Genomic DNA, 19,380 nt, shown 5'->3' on the forward strand with positions numbered 1-19,380 from the left:
AGCGTTCCCACAGGGTAGGGTTGAGTCTCAGAGGAGGCTGCTTCCTCTCCCTGGGGCTAATCAGAAGGGAACAGAGTTGCTAGGGGAGAATTATTGATCACTAACTGAGTACCAGGCACCATGGGAGGCAAAAAAAATAAAAATAAATAAATAAAAAAAACTATATAATTCATGTTCCTGTTCTCAGGGACCTGATGGTCTGTACAAGACCACAGATGGCCAGATGGTACACAATGCAATATGGAAGCACGTGAGGGTGGAGGCCATGCAGGGCTGCCAGGTACACCTGTTCAGGTTGGGCACTACACAATGCTAGGGACGCCACTCTACAGATGTCTTGTGCAACCGTACATGAGGCCTTGAAGTCAAAGGGAGACGTTAGGTTTTTACACATTTGCCTGATGCCAAAGGGTGAGGAGGAATTGACCAATATCTGTTAAAGATCAGGGTCTGGGCATGTGTCTATTGTGCACATCCAAAGAGAAGAAGAGTTCCTATGAACACATTTGTAACCTGGATTCTAAACCACGTAGTCTCTATCAACTCTTCCTCCTCACCTCTTCTCAGGAACCCAAAATCCTTCCACCTCCTACTGTGAGTTTTTCCCTTTGAGAAAACAGTTTCTTGCCCTGGCTGCCCCTCCTCCCACTCCTTCCCATTCCCTCTGTTCCTAGCAATGTGACTTTGCAGAGAATGGAAAAATCTCTTCCAGGAACCTGACACCCTCCATTCTTTTCCCCATATCCCCTCAGAATCTACTCTAATTTAATACAATTTTGGAAACAGGAAGATCTTTTTGTGTTATGTTAATGATACCTGAGAGTTGTTGAGCACATGCTGTGTGATGGATGCTGTGATTTAAATTACATTTCTTTTTAACTTTTATTTTAGATTTAGGGGTACATGTACAGGTTTGTTGTTACAGACAAACTTGTGTTATGGGGGTTTGGTGCACGGACCACTTTGTCACCCAGGTACTAAACATAGTACCTGATAGTTCTGATAGTTATTTTTCCTGATTCTCTCCCTTCTTCCACCCTCCTCCCTCAAGTAGGCCCCAGTGTCTGTTGTTCCCTTCTTCGTGCCCATTAGTTCTCATTATTTAACTCCCACTTATCAGTGGGAACATGCAGTATTTGGTTTTCTGTTCCTGCATTAGTTTGCTAAGAATATTGGCCTCCAGCTCCATCTGTGTTCCTGCAGAGAACATGATCTCATTCTTTTTTACGGCTGTATAGATTCCATGATGTATATGTACCACATTTTCTTTATCCAGCCTACTGTTGATGGGCATTTAGGTTGATTCTATGTCTTTGCTATTGTGAATAGTGCTGCAATGAACACACGTGTGCATGTGTCTTTATGGTAGAATGACTTATATTCCTTTGGGTATATACCCAGTAATGAGATTGCTGAGTTGAATGGTAGTTCTGTTTTTAGTTCTTTGAAAAATTGCCACACTATTTTCCACAATGGTTTAACTAATTTACCCTCCCACCAGCAGTGTATAAGTGTTCCCTTTACCTTGAATGTAAATGGGCTAAATGCCCCAAATAAAAGGCACAGAGTGGCAAGCTGGATAAAGAAGCAAGGCCGAACAGCATGCTGTCTTCAAGAGACCCATTTAACATGCAATGACACCCATAGGCTTAAAATAAAGGGATGGAGAAAAATCTACCAAGCAAATGGAAATCAGAAAAAAGCAGGGGTTGCAATCCTAATTTTAGACGAAGCAGACTATAAGCCAACAAAGATGAAAAAAGACAAAGAAGGGCATTACATCATGGTGAAGGGTTCAAATCAACAAAAAGGCCTAACTGTCCTAAATATAGATGCACCAACCGCAGGAGTACCCAGATTCATAAAGCAAGTTCTTTTTAAAAAATAAATAATTGAAATTTATTTTTTATAATTCTGGAGGCTGGAAAGTCTAAGATCAAGGTGCTGGCAGATTCAGTATCTGATGAGGGCTGCTCTCTGCAGATAATGCCTTGTTGCTGCATCCTCCAGAGGGGGTGAATGCATAAAGCAAGTTCTGAGAGACCCATGAAGAGACTTAGACTCCCACACAATAACAGAGGGAGACTTCAACACCCCACTGACAGTATTAGACAGATCATCAAGGCAAGACGAATCATCAAAGCAAAGATACTCAGGACCTGAACTCAACACTTGACTGAATGGACCTAGTAGACATCTATAGAACTCTCCACCCCAAAACAACAGAATATACATTCTTCTCATTGCCACATGGCACATTCACTAAAATCAACCAAAGAATTGGACATAAAGCAATTCATAGCCAATGCAAAAAACAAAAATAAAATTATACCAATCACACCCTTGGACAACAAAGCAATAAAAATAGAATTGAGTACAAAGAAAATTGCTCAAAACCATACATTTACATGGAAATTAAACAGCCTCCTCGTGAATGACTTTTGGGCAAATAAATTAAGGGAGAAATCAATAAGTTATTTGAAACTAATGAGAACAAAGATACAGCATACCAGAATCTCTGGGATACAGCTAAGGCAGTGTTAAGAGGGAAATGTATAGCACTAAATGCCCACGTTTTTATTTAGTCTTCACAATAGCCTTATGAGATAAGATGCTATTGCTATCCTTATTTTATAGGTTAGGAAAAGGCTTAGAGTGGTTAAATAATCTGCCCAATTTGCATGGCTAGTGAGTGGTACAATTGGTATTCATGCCCAGCCTGGTTCCGGGCCCCAGCTGCTCTTCTGACCTGCTCCTTCTTTTGCCTCATCCTGTCTCCCGAGTTAGCCTGCTTTTTGAGACCTGAAAGCTTTGACTGGAAAAGATCCTGTGATTGCATATTTTTTCCAAACTGGCCTAGACTTGTTCTTTCACAGGCTGGATGTAGCAAGCAACACAACAAACACAACATCCAAACAATCATGGGGGGGTAGTGGTGGCTGTGTAAATTTTACTTAAGGGACATTTTAATTTCATCTCTGGCAAAAGTCAGCTATTTTCCCAGATTCTGAAGTGGCATAAAAAGCCTTCAGTCAGCCATTGCTCTTGACAGTAGAATTCTACTTGTAGAAAATTATCCTATAGAGATAATTGCTTGAGGATCTACGTAAAGAGATTTTCACTGCAGCATTGCTTTGTAATAGTGAACTATTGGAAATAACCTAAATATCTATTAGTAGGTGATTGGTTATGGCCCATTTAAAAGAATGTAGCCATTAAAAAATATGGTAGTGACTTATGGTATAAATGTGGCTGTAGAGGCTGGACATGGTGGCTCATGCCTGTAATCCCAGCACTTTGGGAGGCTGAGGCAGGAGGATTGCTTGAGTCCAGGAGTTCCAGACCAGCCTGGGCAACATAATAAGACCTAGTCTCTACACAGAATAAAAAATTAGCGAGGTGTGGTGGCAGGCACCTATATCCCCAGCTACTTAAAAGGCTGAGGCAAGAGGATCGCTTGAGCCTAGGAGTTTGAGAGGTCAGGGCTGCAGTGAGCTATGATTGCGCACTGCACTCTAGGCTGGGCGACAGAGTGAACCTTGAGGCTAAAAAGAAAAAGAAAAAAAGGGCTGGATGGCTGGGCTCGGGCTCATGCCTGTAATTCCAGCATTTTGAGAGGCTGAGGTGGGAGGATCACACAAGCTCAGGAGTTTGAAACCAGCCTGGGCAACATAGTGAGGGCTTGTCCCTACAAAAAATAATTTTAAAAATTAGCTGTGTGTGGTGGTGCATGCTTGTAGTCCTAGCTACTTGGGAGGCTGAGATTGGAGGATTGCTTGAGCCCAGGAGATGGAGGCTGCAGTGAGCTGTGATTGCACCACTGCATCCAGCCTGGGTGACGGAGCAAGACCCTGTCTAAAACAAACAAATCAGAAAGAAAGAAAGAGGCTATTTCTCCCTTCCTTTTCTAGAAATCATTCAAAAGCAACAAGGAAAATGGGGAAAAATTCCATAGACAATAATTTTTTGGTGAAACGGGGACACATACCATTTGCAGACTCCAGAATGCGTGAAAAGGCTGCCGGTGTCACCATTAGGCAGCACTCACTAGGGAGAAAGAGAATGCAGAGGGGGTGGATGTCAGGAAGCTCTAGGAATATGTATACCTCCTGCAGGTGGAGGATGCAACCTCAAGTGCAAAAGAGATCTCCTTCCTTTGTAACAACAGCTATGGGAATTGGGTGAGCAAGGCTGACAGCAGAAGCCATCTTATACCCCGCTCAGGTTCATACAGCCCGTAGAAGCGGACGTTTTAGCTATCCATTGCTGTATAACAAACCACCCCCAAATTTGGTGATTTTAAACATTTATTTGTTATTCTCTTTCACAGTTCTGGGATATGACAGGTTCAGCTGATGGCTTTTGCTTGGGGTCCTCATATGGTTGCTGAGGATAAGTCATCTGCATCGTGATCTCAGAGTAGTCAGACTTCTTATCTGGTAGCTGATGGCCCCAGAGCAATTGCTCCACGAGGCTTAAGTCAAAGCTGCAAGGCATCTTATGACCTAGTATGGAAGGCCTACAATGTCACTTTCAGCACATTATATTTTGTCAAGCAATTTACTAAGAGTGTCCCAGATTTGAGGGATGGGAGAAATAGACTCCACCTCTAAATGGGAAGAGTAGCAAAGAATTTATGACCATCATTAACTGTCCACATGGGGCTATACAAAAAATCAAATGGATGAGCAGTAGTTGTATGAAGCAGTCTGTGTCTATGGCTGATGGTGGTGGAGGGAAGCCAGCTATCCTAAAAGGATACCTTGTCCCGCCCCCCAACAGAGCCTCATGCAAATAACTTGCCCACTCAATAATGAGTGACACATAGCATCAAATTAAATCCACTATAAGGTGAAGGAGGAAAAAAGAGTGTCAAACATTTCCAACAATTGAAGAATACTTACCAGAAAAAATTGACATAGAGCAGCTGAAAAAAGCATTAGGCAATTGAATTTTAAAAAGTGAATGCAGTAATTGCTTCTATGAAGAAAGACCACAAAACAGAAATACATTAACAGATTTTTTTTTTAATTACCATTTTGCAACCCCTAATATAGCAATTGGTTTAGGTAGGGATCATCAATAGATGTGAAAACCCTTGAGTAAAAGGCAATTGGGGAATAATATATTCATGGTGATAAAGTATCACCACATGGAGTAATTATAGAGGGAAGATATGTACCTTTACATTGGAGAAACCTAGCAGTTACCCATTTTAACCAAGTGGTCAAACTTGGAATTACTGATATCAAGACAGCCTAAACTCATGTGCCTCCTGATGGAATGCAATATGAAATTCACAACATCATTACAGGCAAAATGTTTAATCTGAATTTTATCAAGTCTTTGGACCTAGCTGGCAATTTATCAGAAATACAAATGCTAGATAAACAAATGAAATATAAAGAAACAACCTGACAAATCTAGTCTATGGGATATTTTATAAAACAACTGGCATGGATTCTCTTTTTTTTTTTTCACATGTAGGGAGGACACAAGTTTTGTGCCCCTTGTCACAATGACCCCAGATTCCTGTTTGGTGTATTGTAAACAGAGGAGCCACTCTTCAACCTCCCTGCCCTAAGCAAACCCTGGCATATACTCTTAAAGAAGTAAATGTCATAACAAAAGTTGGAGATCTAGTCTAGATTAAAAGAGAATAAAGGCTGGGCGCAGTGGCTCATGCCTGTAATCCCAGCACTTTGGGAGGCCGAGGCTGATGGATCATGAGGTCAAGAGATTGAGACCATCCTGGCCAACATAGTGAAACCTCATATCTACTAAAAATACAAAAATTAGCTGGACGTTCTGGCATGCACCTGTAGTCCCAGCTACTTGGGAGGCTGAGGCAGGAGAATTGCTTGAACCCGGGAGGTGGAGGTTGAAGTAAGCTGAGATCTCTTCACTGCACTCCAGCCTGGTGACAGAGCCAGACTCCATCTCCAAAAAAAAAAAAAAAAAAAAAAAAGAGAATAAAGAGACATAACAAGCAAATGCAATGTATAATTGGATACTGGGTTGGAATAGTATTTAAAAACATTTTTTGAGGTAATTGGGGAAATTTGAGTATAGATTATATATTAGATGATATTATAAAGTTATTGTTAAATTAGTATGGTTGCTATGGTCTGACTGCTTGTGCCCCCCTAAGATTCATATGTTGAAACCTAATCACCAATGTGATGGGAGGTGGGGTTGTTGGGAGGTGATTAGGTCATGGGGGCAGAGCTCTCATGAATGGGTTTTGTGGCCTTATAAAAAAGGACCCATAGAGCTGCCTTGCCCCCTCCACCATCTAAGGGCACAGCAAGAAGGTACCATCTGTGAACCAGAAAGTAGGCCTTCGACAGACACTGAATCGTGGGTGTCTTGATTTTGGACTTCCCAGCCTCTGGAACTGTGAGAAATAATTTTCTGTTGTTTACAAGCTACCCTGTCTATGGTAATTTATTCTAGCAATTCAAATGGTCTAAGATAGGGGTTATATAGTGGAATGTTTTTATTTTAGGAGGTGCAGACTAAAGTTTTTGTGGTTGAAGTGTTCTGATGTCTACAATCTATTTAAAAATGATTTGGAAAAATGCATGTATGTATTGTTTGTGAGTATAGAGACAGTGAAAGCACATAGAGCAAAATAATAATAATTGGTGAATCTATATGAAGTATATGATATATGGCTGCTCATTGTATTATTCTTTCAACATGTCTGTAGCTCTGCAAGTTTTCCAAATGAAAAGTTGAAAGGAAAAAGAACATAGGGATGAGATTGTGAGATAACAGAATGAGATGAAGCATGGGTGGGCAGAACTCAGATCAAAGTATCAGAGAAATAAGGATGAAATGGAAGGGGTGCAAATAATAGGCAATTAAAAAAACCACAGCAAGGGACAAAAATATAATTTTCTGAAATAGAGACATTAATTTATATTATGTATCAGAGAAAATTAATGCAGGAGAGCCAACCTAGAGATGTGTCCTAGTAAAGTTATTAAACTTCAAAGATAACTAAGCAAAATGATCAAGTCACTGAGGGGCGGGGGAAGCAGGCTTGTTTCCGAGTTCCGTGCAGCAATATTCAATGTCAGAAGAAAGTCATGCAATACTTAAAAAAGATGTCCAAGGGAAAAAAAAGTGTTACACATGGAGTTCAAATCCAGCCAAATTATCCTTCAACCATAAAGACTACAGATATCCTCGATCATAAAATAATTCAGGGGATGTCGATTCTTTGAATCTTTCTTGAAGAAACAATCAGAGGATGGATGCCAGCCAACAAAGAGATAACTGAGGACATTATAGAAAAAAGACTGGAGGCAACTTTGAATATATGTAATGTAGACTAAAGCAAAAATAATTCCACACTTTAGAGTAATTGAAAATAATGTAAAAATGACATGTCCTGACAATGTATAAATACATGCACTGAACAAATACTCGTGGAGGAAGGGGGAAAGTAGGTGAGAGGTAGATTAAGGTAACTGATTGTTACATCTGTAATAAGTGGGAGTCAAAAAATATTACTCAAGACTGACAAACCAAGTAATAGAAGCATACACATTTTTAATAGTACAAAATGAAACTCAGAGAAAGATGTTCTCTTTGGTAGGAGAGAGGAGGAAGAGAGGAAGAGGAAATGTGCTTTTTTTTTCATTGTTCCTAGGCACTAATAGACATTTCTTGAATAATAGAAAACTAGAGGTATTTTTTAAAAGTTTTATTATAAAAGTAACAGAGCAAAAATGAAAACCTATTGAAATTTGAAAATAATTATTCACAGCAACAAAGACAACAGACTACATAGTGAATGTTTTTAAAAAACTAAACAAAAATAGAACATAATGTTACTATGTTAGAACTAACGCTAATTTATTTGACATATGAATAGATGTTGAAATAGGCTTAACTCACCTATTAAAATAAACAATATTTCAGAGTATTCTTAGGCAACACCCACCTTCATGCTGAGCTCAAGCAAGTGAGCACCTACAATAAGTGTTTTCAGAAAGGTTGAAAATAGGCCAGGTGCAGTGGCTCATGCCTGTAATCCCAGCACTTTGGGAGGCCGAGGTGAGTGGATCACTTGAGGTCAGGAGTTTGAGACCAGCCTGGGCAATATGGTGAAACCCCATCTCTACTAAAAATAAAAAAATTTTCCAGGCATGGTGACACATGCTTGTAATCCCAGCTACTCAGGAGGCTTCGAAGCAGAAGAATTGCTTGAACCCGGGAGGCAGAGGTTGCAGTGAGCTGGGATTGCGCCATTGCACTCCAGCCTGGGTGACAGAGCGAGACTTCATCTTAAAAAAAAAAAAAAGGTTGAAAATAAAAGTACATACAAAGATAGGTGAGGCAAATGCAAAACAAAACAAAAGACAAACAAAAGAAAGCCCAGGTCATAATTTTAATATCACACTAGATGGAGATGAAGAAAGTCACTTTAAGGTGGGGTGCTGTGGCTCATGCTCGTAATCCCAGTGCTTTGGAAGGCTGATGTGAGAGGGTCACTCCAGCCCAGGAGTTCAAGACCCACCTAGGTAACATAGACCCTGTCTCTACAAAACATTAAAAAAAAAAATTAGCCAGGAGTAGTGTTGCATAACTGTAGTCCCAGCTATTCAGGAGGCTGAGCTGGGAGGATCACTTGAGCCAGGGAGGCTGAGGCTGCAGTGAGCAGTGATAGAGCTACTATACTCTAGCCTGGGTGATAGAGCCAGACTCTGCCTCAAAAAAAAAAAAAAAAAAAAGAAAGAAAGTCACTTTATAATACTTAAGGATGGAATCCACAATGAATACAACAGTTCTGAATATCTATGTACCAAATAGCAAAGCACAACATTCATAAAGCTAAAATTATAAGAGATACAGGGGGTAAAAACAGACAAACAAATGGTAGGAAACTTTAATTCACCCATCACAGTCAATGATGGATCAACTGAAAAAAAATAATTAGGATATAGAAAAAACCTAAATATCATATTTAGAAAAGCAGATACAGGTTTACAATATCTTTTCCAAAACTCTCTATAGTTTTTCAAAGTGTGGAAAGCTGATATAGTACATATACTGAATATTATGTAATATCTTAATTGGGGTTCATAATGAAACACATTGATATTTTCTGCAGTGAACCATATGATGCGGGAAGCAAAAACCATAACTAGTCTTACATCAGTTTAGAACAGAGTTTGCTGTCAAAAGGAGTTACAAAAAAAAGTTTAGAAATCAGAACATTTTGGATTTAGGATATTTCAGAGTTGGGAAGGTGACTCTGTGTTGGGCTCCACATAAGGAAAAATTTCAACCTAGAACTGTCTAAAAAAGAAATGAAGTCCCTTGGAAGTGCCTGCCACTGGGGCTCAGGTGGGTGGGAGACATTCAAGCAGAGATGACCATTTTTTCAGGCGACTCAAGTACCAAGTAGAGAGTTGGACAAGGAGACTACCAAGTTATTTTCTCACCTGGGATTCTAGGGTTAGACTAGCTGGAAAGTGGTGGGTTAGAGAAGGGGGATGAGCAGAATGGGTTCATACAATCCTATGCGTTGTCTCTTAGGTATCTGTCAAAATTAAAGCAAAATGGTACTGATCCAGTGTTCCAGCATGTGGTTGGGAAATGCGTATACAAGCTACTAACTCAGTGAAGATGGCAGACAAGTTGCTTTTTACAAGCTCTTAGAGGATGGATCCCATTCCAAAGTAGGCGTAAAATATGCTGAAAAGTGGCTGGGCGCGGTGGCTCATGCCTGTAATCTCAGAAATTTGGGAGGCTGAGGAGGGTGGATCACCTGAGGTCAGGAGTTCGAGACCAGCCTGGTCAACATAGTGAAACCATGTCTCTACTAAAAATACAAAAATTAGCTGGGTGTGGTGGCACATGCCTGTAATCCCAACTACTCGGGAGGCTGAGGCAGAAGAATCACTTGAACCTGGGAGGCGGAGGTTGTAGTGAGCTGAGATTATGTTATTGCCCTTCAGCCTGGGCAACAAGAACAAAACCCCGTCTCAAAAAAAAAAAAAAAAGTGCTGAAAGGTAGGGTAGCAAGTGGGGCTTTGAAGGGACAGCAAGCTTGTCCCCTCACTTCCTATGGCTGAAGCAGCAATATCACTCAGTGAGTACTTCTGAACTCTCTCTGTGCCATCAAGCACATTTGTAAATTTCTGAATTTGGTGCTGCATAGCTGGGGGCCACAGCAGGTTTAGGCGGTCAGTGAATACTGACAATAGAGAGCTTGGCCCATTTCTGAGAGCTGATAGGTCAGGTGGATGCTGGCGAGAAAAGGCAGTGGCAAGTGGAGGGCATTAGGCCTTTCTTGGGCCATAATTGGCTGATTTGATGATTATGAGCGAGGACTGGGGAATGGGGAAGGTCATTGCTGCTGGCTGCCGCTACCTGCCACGTGTCAGTGATGTTTTCTGGGTGCATGGGTTTCCTGACCCTTGTTGGGTTGCTTTACTGCTTTTTAAAACTTCCAAAGGACTCACCCTGCCTTCTTGGGAACAACTATCAGTGTTTGATGACTTTTGCTGAGGGAGCTCTTTCAATTATCTTCCTGGAATCACGCCAGTTGTGATTACTGCCACACTCTCTATGGTTCCACCACTCAGCCTGGAAAATGGTGAGGCTGGTGGAGTGGAGGTCAGCTACCCTCTGAAGCACTTCTTTCCCCCTTGCAACTTTAAGCAAACATTCCATGGCCAGAAGGGAGCAAAGTCTGTAGGAGGGCAGAGAGCAGCAGGACTCACCCGGTCAGAAGTCCTTTAAAACATTGATTTCTCTTCAGCTTGAACAAAACAATATGAGTTGCATTATGGAGGAGGCAGAAAATGAAGATAAGCACAAAAAAGAAAACAAAAATCTCACCACGCAGAGATAAGTGCTATTCATGGTTTAGTCTGACTGTTTACAACTGGGTTCCTAGATGTCCTGGGGTTCTATGGAGGTGCTTCTAAGACGCCTTAAATACTTAGAATTTAACCAAAGAATGGCCGGGTGCAGTGGCTCATGCCTGTAATCTCAGCACTTTGGGAGGCCGAAGCAGGTGGATCACCTGAGGCCAGAAGTTCGAGACCAGCCTAGCCAACATGGTGAAACTCCATTTCTACTGTAAATACAAAAAAAAAAAAAAAAAAAAAAAGGCCAGGCGCGGTGGCTCATGCCTGTAATCCCAGCACTTTGGGAGGCCGAGGCAGGTGGATCACGAAATCAGGAAATCGAGACCATCCTGGCTAACATGGTGAAACCCCATCTCTACCAAAAAAAAAAAAAAAAAAAAAAAAGCCGGGCCTAGTGGCCAGTGCCTGCAGTCCCAGCTACTCAGGAGGCTGAGGCAGGAGAATGGCATGAACCCGGGAGGCGGAGGTTGCAGTGAGCCGAGATCGCGCCACTGCACTCCAGCCTGCGTGATAGAGTGAGACTCCATTAAAAAAAAAAAATTAATCAAAGTAGAAAATATTTTGACCACATAAAAATGGCAATAACCAAAAAAATAACAGCAACCTTGGGGCAAACAGCAGTCTTATGGAGACCACCAGCATGTGATCGTGTGTGTCTCTGCCAGCCTCAGCCCAGCTCCTCCTGCTGTCCCTGGGTGGTTATTTGCACTTGTCATGAATGTGCCTTGGTTGGAAGGCTGGAGCCCTGCAGACCCACAGGTCTATCAGAGGGCTCAGGGCCTTACCTTCTGTATGTTCACCTCATGAGGAAATCGTGGGGTGTGTAAGAAGTGAATTTGTAACACATCGTGGTGTGATTCCATTGTATTATGGATCACTTTAGCACCTGTCTTTTATTTTTATTATTGAGGTATGGTAAATACCTCTTAATAGAAATACATTTCAGTAAGTGGCAGGATACAGAATGCTGAGTACTAACCTTCCCCACCCCAAGCCCACAATATCCTGTAACCTGTGGCCCCTCAGCTACCTGGCTGGGAAGTTCCCTCATGCCTTTAGAGGAGGATTTCAGAAATGTGGAGAGAAGGAAGCATGAGGATACTCAGCTTTTTCATTGAAACTGAAAGCAGAGGAAAGTACTGATAGCTTTCAAGACCAGAATCTAGGCCAGGTGTGGTGGCTCATGCCTGCAATCCCAGCACTTTGGGAGGCCAAGGCAGGAGGACTGCTTGAGATCAGGAGTTTGAAATTAGCCTGGGCAACATAAGGAGACCCCATCTTTACAAAACAATGAAGAATTAGCTGGGCTTGGTGGCGTGTGCCTATTGTTCCAGCTACTTGGGAGGCTGAGGCAGGAGGATCCCTTGAACCCAGGAGGTGGGGGCTACAGTGAGCCATGATGGCACCACTACACTCCATCCTTGGCAACAGAGTGAGACTCTGTCTCAAAACAACAACAACAACAACAACAAAAACAAAGACCAGAATCTAAACAGTTGTCTAAACAGCAAAAGAAGAGCTGGGTTGGGGAAGGGAAGAGAATCAGAGGGAAAGCTGGAGAGAAACAAAGTTCCTGCACCCTGACCTACTATCCCACCCAAGGTCACAATCCTGGGTTGGAGACAGTCACCAGAATAAATGTGGGGACTCTGAGGCCAGAGAAGACCTGTGCTCCTTCCCAAGCATGGCCTGGGGAAGTTGGCTGAGATCCTGGAGTACCCTGTCTGGTCAGCTGTCATTGTGTCTGACGACTGCTGGATGGAGCATTGGGGCAGAGAGGCCACAAGTTGGCAAAGTCCTCCTCCTTGAGACTCCCGTGGCTCAATAGGTACAGGGAGCCAAAGGCCCGTGGGACGTGACCAACTCAGCATTCCACTGAGTCTATATGATCAAACAGCAAACTGTTTATCATGAATACAGAATGTGGGCAAACTCACGACCGCGCCTGCCCCAGAAGGTTTGCTGAGGGCAATCACTTCCTGGCGCCAAGCTCCTTGAGGTTATCTACTGGGACATCTAGAGAATGCAGTCTTGTGAGACTACTCTGGACGAGCAGCTGACCCCTTCTTCCACCCCCCTTCTCACTATCTCTTTTGCCTAATAAATACGGAGGGCTGTGTAAAGGTCAGGGCCCTTGTCCACTAGAGGCAAGGTGCCCCCTGACCCCTTCTTCCAAATATACGCTTTTGTCTTTTATTCCTGCATTCGCCCGCTTTGTTCAGTCCCCCTAGGTCCATGTGGGTTACATAGTGGCGCCGCAGAACAGGGACTTCAAGGACGTAAACGAAGAAGGTCTGCTGGAGCAGAGGAACTGAAATTGAGAAGGTGAACGGGGACCCCAGGCCGAGTCTGCCGACAGGGATATAAGGTCGGTGCCCTAAAGAGGTACTGGGAGCAGTGCTTTAAAGAAGTACTAGGAATGGGAAGTTTTCTGAATCAGGGTAACATGAGTCAGAATTTGTCTGTTGGAGAAAAACATTATGTGCAGTTGCTTAAAGTTTTGTTGAAACAAACTGGTGCTCAGGTCAGTTCTCAGACATTAAGATGCTGCCGGAGGTTATTACGCATAACCCATGGTTTCCACAGGCACTCTTGATGTGGAAAATTGGGATAGAGCAGAAGGATTAAAACAGGCTCATCAAAAAGGTTTTAAAGTTGATTCTTCAGTTTTTTCCACTCAGAGTTCAGTTCGTACTGTACTTCTGCCATTATCTCATTATTATGCGGGGTAGCAGGCTGAATCTAAAAATCTGAAAGAATCTGTTGTCCCACCCACAGATCCAATTGAAAATAAAAGACAGGAGAGGGAGAATAAAAATTGGCCTATACCACCTCCTCCAGTTGCAGAAACATCTGTACTGCCTCCTTTGGTGGCAAAAATAGAGACCCCCCAATACAGAGAATTTATGCTCTGCTGTCATAGCCGGAGAGCCCTTAGGACCTTGTGCTTTTCCTATTTCCGTAACGCCTGATCCAAATAATCCGCAGCAGGTTATTCACGAACACACTCCACTAGAGTTTAAGTTGTTAAAGGAATTAAAAGCGAGTGTGGTAAATAATGGCATACAGAGCCCATTCACTTTAGGATTGCTAGAATCAGTGTTTGGTGTCATACATCTTTTACCCTTTGATGTGAAACACTTGGCGCGAACTTGCTTGTCTGCGAGTGCATAGCTGATGTGTAATTTCAATTGGCAAGAAAAGTGTGCAGAGCAGGCTAGACAGAACTGTGCTGCTGGAAACGGAGACATTACAGAGGATATGCTATTGGGTAATGGCCCTTATTCAGACCTGGAACGTCAAATGGCACTCCCAGACGCTGCTTATCAGCAGTGCGCATAGGCCACTAAATGCACTTGGGCCACAATTCCTGAAGAGGGAGTCCCAGTACAATCCTTTTTACATATCATGCAAGGGTCATAGGAACCCTATGCACAGTTTCTTTCAAGATTACAAGACGCAGTGAAGCGTCAGATTCCTCATACCATGGCTGCAGAAATGCTAACCTTAACTCTAGCTTTTGAGAATGCAAACACGGATTATAAAAGTGCACTGGCACCTGTGAGATGTACAAAAAACTTGGGAAATTTTCTCAGAGCTTGTCAAGATGCAGGAACTGAGCTTCATCGCTCTTCAATGTTAGCTGAAGCAATGGCTAATTTAGTAGTTGACAAATCTAAAAGGAGCCAAGGGTCAAGCTCTAAAATGGGAAAATGTTATAATTGTGGAAAAACTGGACATTTAAAAAAGGAATGCCACCAGATCTCAGGACAGAAAGGATCTTACAATGCAGTTCCCCCATCAGCGGAAAAAACGCCAGGACTTTGTCCTCGCTGTAACAAAGGAAATCACTGGGCTAATCACTGCTGCTCAAAATTTCATCGGAATGGCACCCCCCTGTCGGGAAATGAGATGGGGGCCTGGACTTGGGTCCCACAAACAGTGAGGGCATTCCCAGTCCAGACCTTAACCCCGTTTTAGGCATGGGTTCCTGGAGGCACATTGATTCCATCACCCCAGGAACACCAGGAAGTGCAGGATTAGATCTACCTGCCAGAGAAAGAATCACATTAGTTGGGGGAGACAAACCCATCAAAGTTCCCACTGGTATTTGGGGAACTTCACCAGCAGGATACATGGGACTAATTTTAGGCAAAAGCCGCCTTAACTTGCAAGGCATGACTGTAGTCCCAGGAGCTGTTGACTCTGATTATGAAGGAGAAACTCAAGTAGTTTTAATGTCACAAGATCTTTGGGTTTTTGAACTGGGAGAATATATTGCTCAATTATTGCTTATTCCCTGCAAATTACACCCTTCTCCATGAAAGGAGAAACGAGGAAATAAAGGGTTTGGGAGCACAACTACATGGGAAATCTATCTATCCCGACCCATAGCCTCTAATAGACCCACCTGTGTAGTACAAATTAAAGGAAAGAAATTTTATGGGCTTATGGATACGGGAACTGATGTATCAGTAATATCTAAAGACAATTGGCCCACATCCTGGCTCTTGCAATTAACTTCTACATCCCTAGTGGAAGTAGGAACAGCTCAAAGTGTTCAACAGAGTGCTGAGATTTTACCTTGTCTTGGTCCGGATGGGCAGTCATGTACTTTTCAGCCTTATGTTGCAAATATAGCTATCAGTTTATGGGGCTGAGACTTACTTACAGCATGGGAGATGAGACTTACAAATGAAAACTTTGATAACCCAGGATTTAAAATGTTGAAGGACATGGATATCAGAGTGAAAAAGGTTTAGGGAAATTCCTACAGGAAAATCCTAACCTGATATCAGTAACTGGCAAAACAGATAGAAAAAGGCTAGGAAATCAGGATTTCTGACAGAGGTCATTGATATTTCTCCCCTGCCCACTGCCTTACCATTAGAATGGCTTAGTGACAAACCTGTGCGGGTGGATCAATGGCCCCTAACACAGGAGAAGCTAGATACCTCTGGTGCTTCAGCGCAATGCTGAGAGCTAATTACAGTCATTCAGGTTTTACAGCTCACAGCTTCAGATCCTATCAACATTGTCTGTAATTCAGCTTATGTTGTAAACGTAGCCAGTCACATTCACATGGAAACTGCTACAGTTAAAAGTACACTAGACCCAGAACTGCTTAATTTGTTTCACTTATTCTCAAATGCTGCATGCTACATGCCAAACAGGTGAGACAGCTGGTCATGTACAGTGACATTGTCTGTCATCATTTGCTCATATGGGGATACTTAAACAATTAAAAACTGACAATGGACTCGCTTATACTAGTCATGCTTTTCAAAATTTCTTATAGCTTTGGGCTATAACCCATAAAATAGGAATTCCTTATAATCCTAAAGGACAAGGCATTGTAGAGCAGGCACATTGAACATTACAACACATGTTGAAAAGACGAAAGGGGTATAGGAGGCCAACTACCACCTCAATCAAAACTACATTTAGCCTTATTTACTTCACATTTTTGGACTCCTGGTACAGATGGTAAGACTCCAGCAGAAAGACATTGGCAAGTGTTAGAGGAAAAGAGGAAAGTTTATCTGAAAGCATTATGGAAATCCCTGGAAGGACAATGGAAAGGTCGGGTGGATTTACTGACGTGGAGAAGAGGGTATGCTTGTGTTTTCACAGGAGATGGACAAGCCGTGTGGGTGCCCTCAAGGTGTGTGCAACCATGGAATGGGAGACTGGAGGAACCCAGGGTGGCCAACCATGGGTCCGGTCCCTCTGGTGTGAGCCATGAGCCAGCTGAGCCTGAGTGCGAAGACGGAGAGAAGGCCGACCACAGTCATGACATCAACCCCCATAACCTGGGGACAACTCAAGAAAACCACACAGGAGGCTGAGAAACTACTGGAGCACCAGGGACAGTCTGTAAAGTTGGATGGACCATCAATGGGAAAATGAGAGCTGCCCACCCTGGCCTTACACTCCTTCAATTAATACATAAACAGAAAGGAGGATATACAGAGAGCCAAAGGCCCATGGGACGTGACCAACATTCCACTGAGTCTATACGATCAAACAGCAAACTGTTTATCATGAATACAGAATGTGGGCAAACTCATGACTGTGCCTGCCCCAGAAGGTTTGCTGAGGGCAATTGCTTCCTGACGCCAAGCTCCTTGAGGTTATCTATTGGGACATCCAGAGAATGCAGTCTTGCAAGCCTACTCTGGACCGAGCAGCTGACCCCCTCTTCCACTTCCCTTCACACTATCTCTTTTGCCTAATAAATACGGAAGGCTGTGTACAAGGTCAGGTCCCTTGTCCACTAGAGGCAAGGTGCTTCCTGACCCTTCTTCCAAATATACTCTTTTGTCTTTGTCTTTTATTCCCGCATTTGCCTCCTTTGTTCAGTTCCCCTAGGTCCTTGCAGGTTACAAATGGGCAAGCAACTGGCTGGTTTGGAAGGGACTTCTGGGCTGGGATAAGAAGAAGCATAGTGCAGGACTCAGGAATGGGATTAGGGAAGGAGTGTTCTGGGCGGAGGGAACAAGTGGAGCGGGCCTGGTTTGGGGCTCATTTGGCTGAAGGGGCAGAGGAAAAGTTAAGGAGGAAGGGGCACGCTGGTCGGTGTAGGCTGTGGAGGGGACTGCTGATTGTGATTGTATTCTCAGAGTGGTGGGGGCCATTGAACATTTTAAAGAGGGCAGCAACATGATCATTCATTCTGGCTGCTTTGTGGGAAATGCCTTCCAGGGATTAAGAGTGGAAGAAGGAAGATGACGACAATCCAGACCAGAGATGAAGGTGGCTTGAGGGCGGCTTGGCCACGGCTGTGCTGTCCCACATGGAAGCCATTGGCCAATTAGCTATGAGCACTTGGAATGTGGCTGGTCTGAATGGAGATGTGCTGTGAGTGTAAAATACAGACTGAATTTTAAAGGCTTAGTACAGAAACAAGAACATCAGATATCACACGGATAATTTTTAAAACTATTGATTACACGTGGAAATAACACTGTATTTTGACCACCACGCTGTATGGGGTTAAATATTTTATTAAAATTCATCTTGCTTGCTTCATTTTACTTTAAAATCTGTCATCTAGAAAATCTACAGTTAGATACATGGCTTGTGTTTGTAGCTTGTGTGATATTTCCAGTGGACAGCAGTGGACTAGAGTGCGAGCAGTGCGTGGCAAGAAAGGCTTGGATCTGTGTTGATCCTGAAATAGAGCTGAGGAGAGCATCAGGGGTAAAGGAGGGAGAGCTGAGCCATGGGTTTATCGGTTTTCCAGGAATGAGGGATCCTGGGGAAGAAACACGTCTGGGGAGAGGCCATTCATGAATAAAATGTGCAAATGTTGAGCGGTCCCTTCATCATCCAGGTGGAGATGTGGAGTATGGGGCTGGACTTTAGAGGCAGTCAGGATGCACAATGGAAGTCATCAGCGTTTGGGTGGCATTTATAGCGCTGGGACTGCAGGAGATGATCTGGAAGTGAACATGAAGACGGAAGAGAAGAGGACTGAAGTCAGAACCCTGAGGTGCTTCAGCATTTAGAGTTGGGGAAAAGGAAGAAGATGCAAAGGAGACTGGTAAAGAATGACTAGTGAGGCCACAGAAACCCAGAAGAGTGTGGTGTCAAAACGCCCTGAAAAACCACCTGGAGGACCGGACCTAAGTGGCTGCTGCCCCCTGGAAGCAGGTCCCCCGCGGGGAGGGGGAAAGGAAGGGCTGCACTGCAATGCTTGGTTCCTTATCCTGAGCTCACCCTTCCCATCAGTCACTACACAGCAGCAGAGAGGAGGGACCTGGGCCTGGAGAGTTCCACAGAAGCCAGGGGCATGGAGATGGCCCCCACATGCCTGCTGCCTTCGCCTTTCTCTTCCAAGAATCCAGAGTGGCTGAATTGGTTCAACCCTCATAACCGATAATTCTCCTGCACTTGAATCTTACTCTCTCCAGTCTATTCTACCACACAGAATGGGACATGGAATCTCTCAAAGCCCAGCTCTGCCCTTCTCTGTCTCTCTGCCTCCTTGTCTCTCTCTCTGTCTCTCTCTCTTACTTACACACACACACACACGCACACTCACACACACCCCATTTAGCAGCCGTCAGTGTGAAATGGATTAAAATCCAAGTTCTTTTTTTTGAGACGGAGTCTCGCTCTGTCCCCCAGGCTGGAGTGCAGTGGCGTGATCTCGGCTCACTGCAACCTCTGCCTCCTGGGTTCACGCCATTCTCCTGCCTCAGCCTCCCGAGTAGCTGGGATTATGGGCTCCCGCCAACATGCCCGGCTAATTTTTTGTATTTTTACATGTTAGCCAGGATGGTCTCGATCTCCGCCCGTCTCGGCCTCCCAAAGTGCTGGGATTACAGGCGTGAGCTACCGCGCCCGGCCTAAAATCCAAATTCTTTAGCAAGACGTCCAAGGGCTTCCCTGATCTGACCCCGATCAGAATCCTTCCTGTCCTGGGGGGGCCCACCTCTCCTTGGAGGAGAGTGTTCTCTTCCTCCTTAAAGGTTTGCCACAT

General features: G+C 43.6%; 1 long non-coding RNA gene and 1 other non-coding gene across 2 annotated transcripts; one reads left to right on the top strand and one right to left on the bottom strand.

The window, feature by feature from the left end:
• Nucleotides 1–5,464: 5,464 nt before the first annotated feature.
• Nucleotides 5,465–5,593, bottom strand: LOC124900353 (small nucleolar RNA SNORA11). The gene has a single exon (XR_007064406.1). It is a non-coding gene; the product is annotated as a small nucleolar RNA SNORA11 (small nucleolar RNA).
• A 7,428-nt stretch (nt 5,594–13,021) lies between these two features.
• Nucleotides 13,022–17,229, top strand: LOC100506358 (uncharacterized). The gene is made up of 2 exons (NR_149012.1): nt 13,022–13,260; nt 16,527–17,229. It is a non-coding gene; the product is annotated as an uncharacterized LOC100506358 (long non-coding RNA).
• The last annotated feature ends 2,151 nt before the right edge of the window (nt 17,230–19,380 follow it).

The sequence above is a fragment of the Homo sapiens genome, chromosome 14 (genome assembly GCF_000001405.40).
Source record: "Homo sapiens chromosome 14, GRCh38.p14 Primary Assembly".
Taxonomy (NCBI): domain Eukaryota; kingdom Metazoa; phylum Chordata; class Mammalia; order Primates; family Hominidae; genus Homo; species Homo sapiens.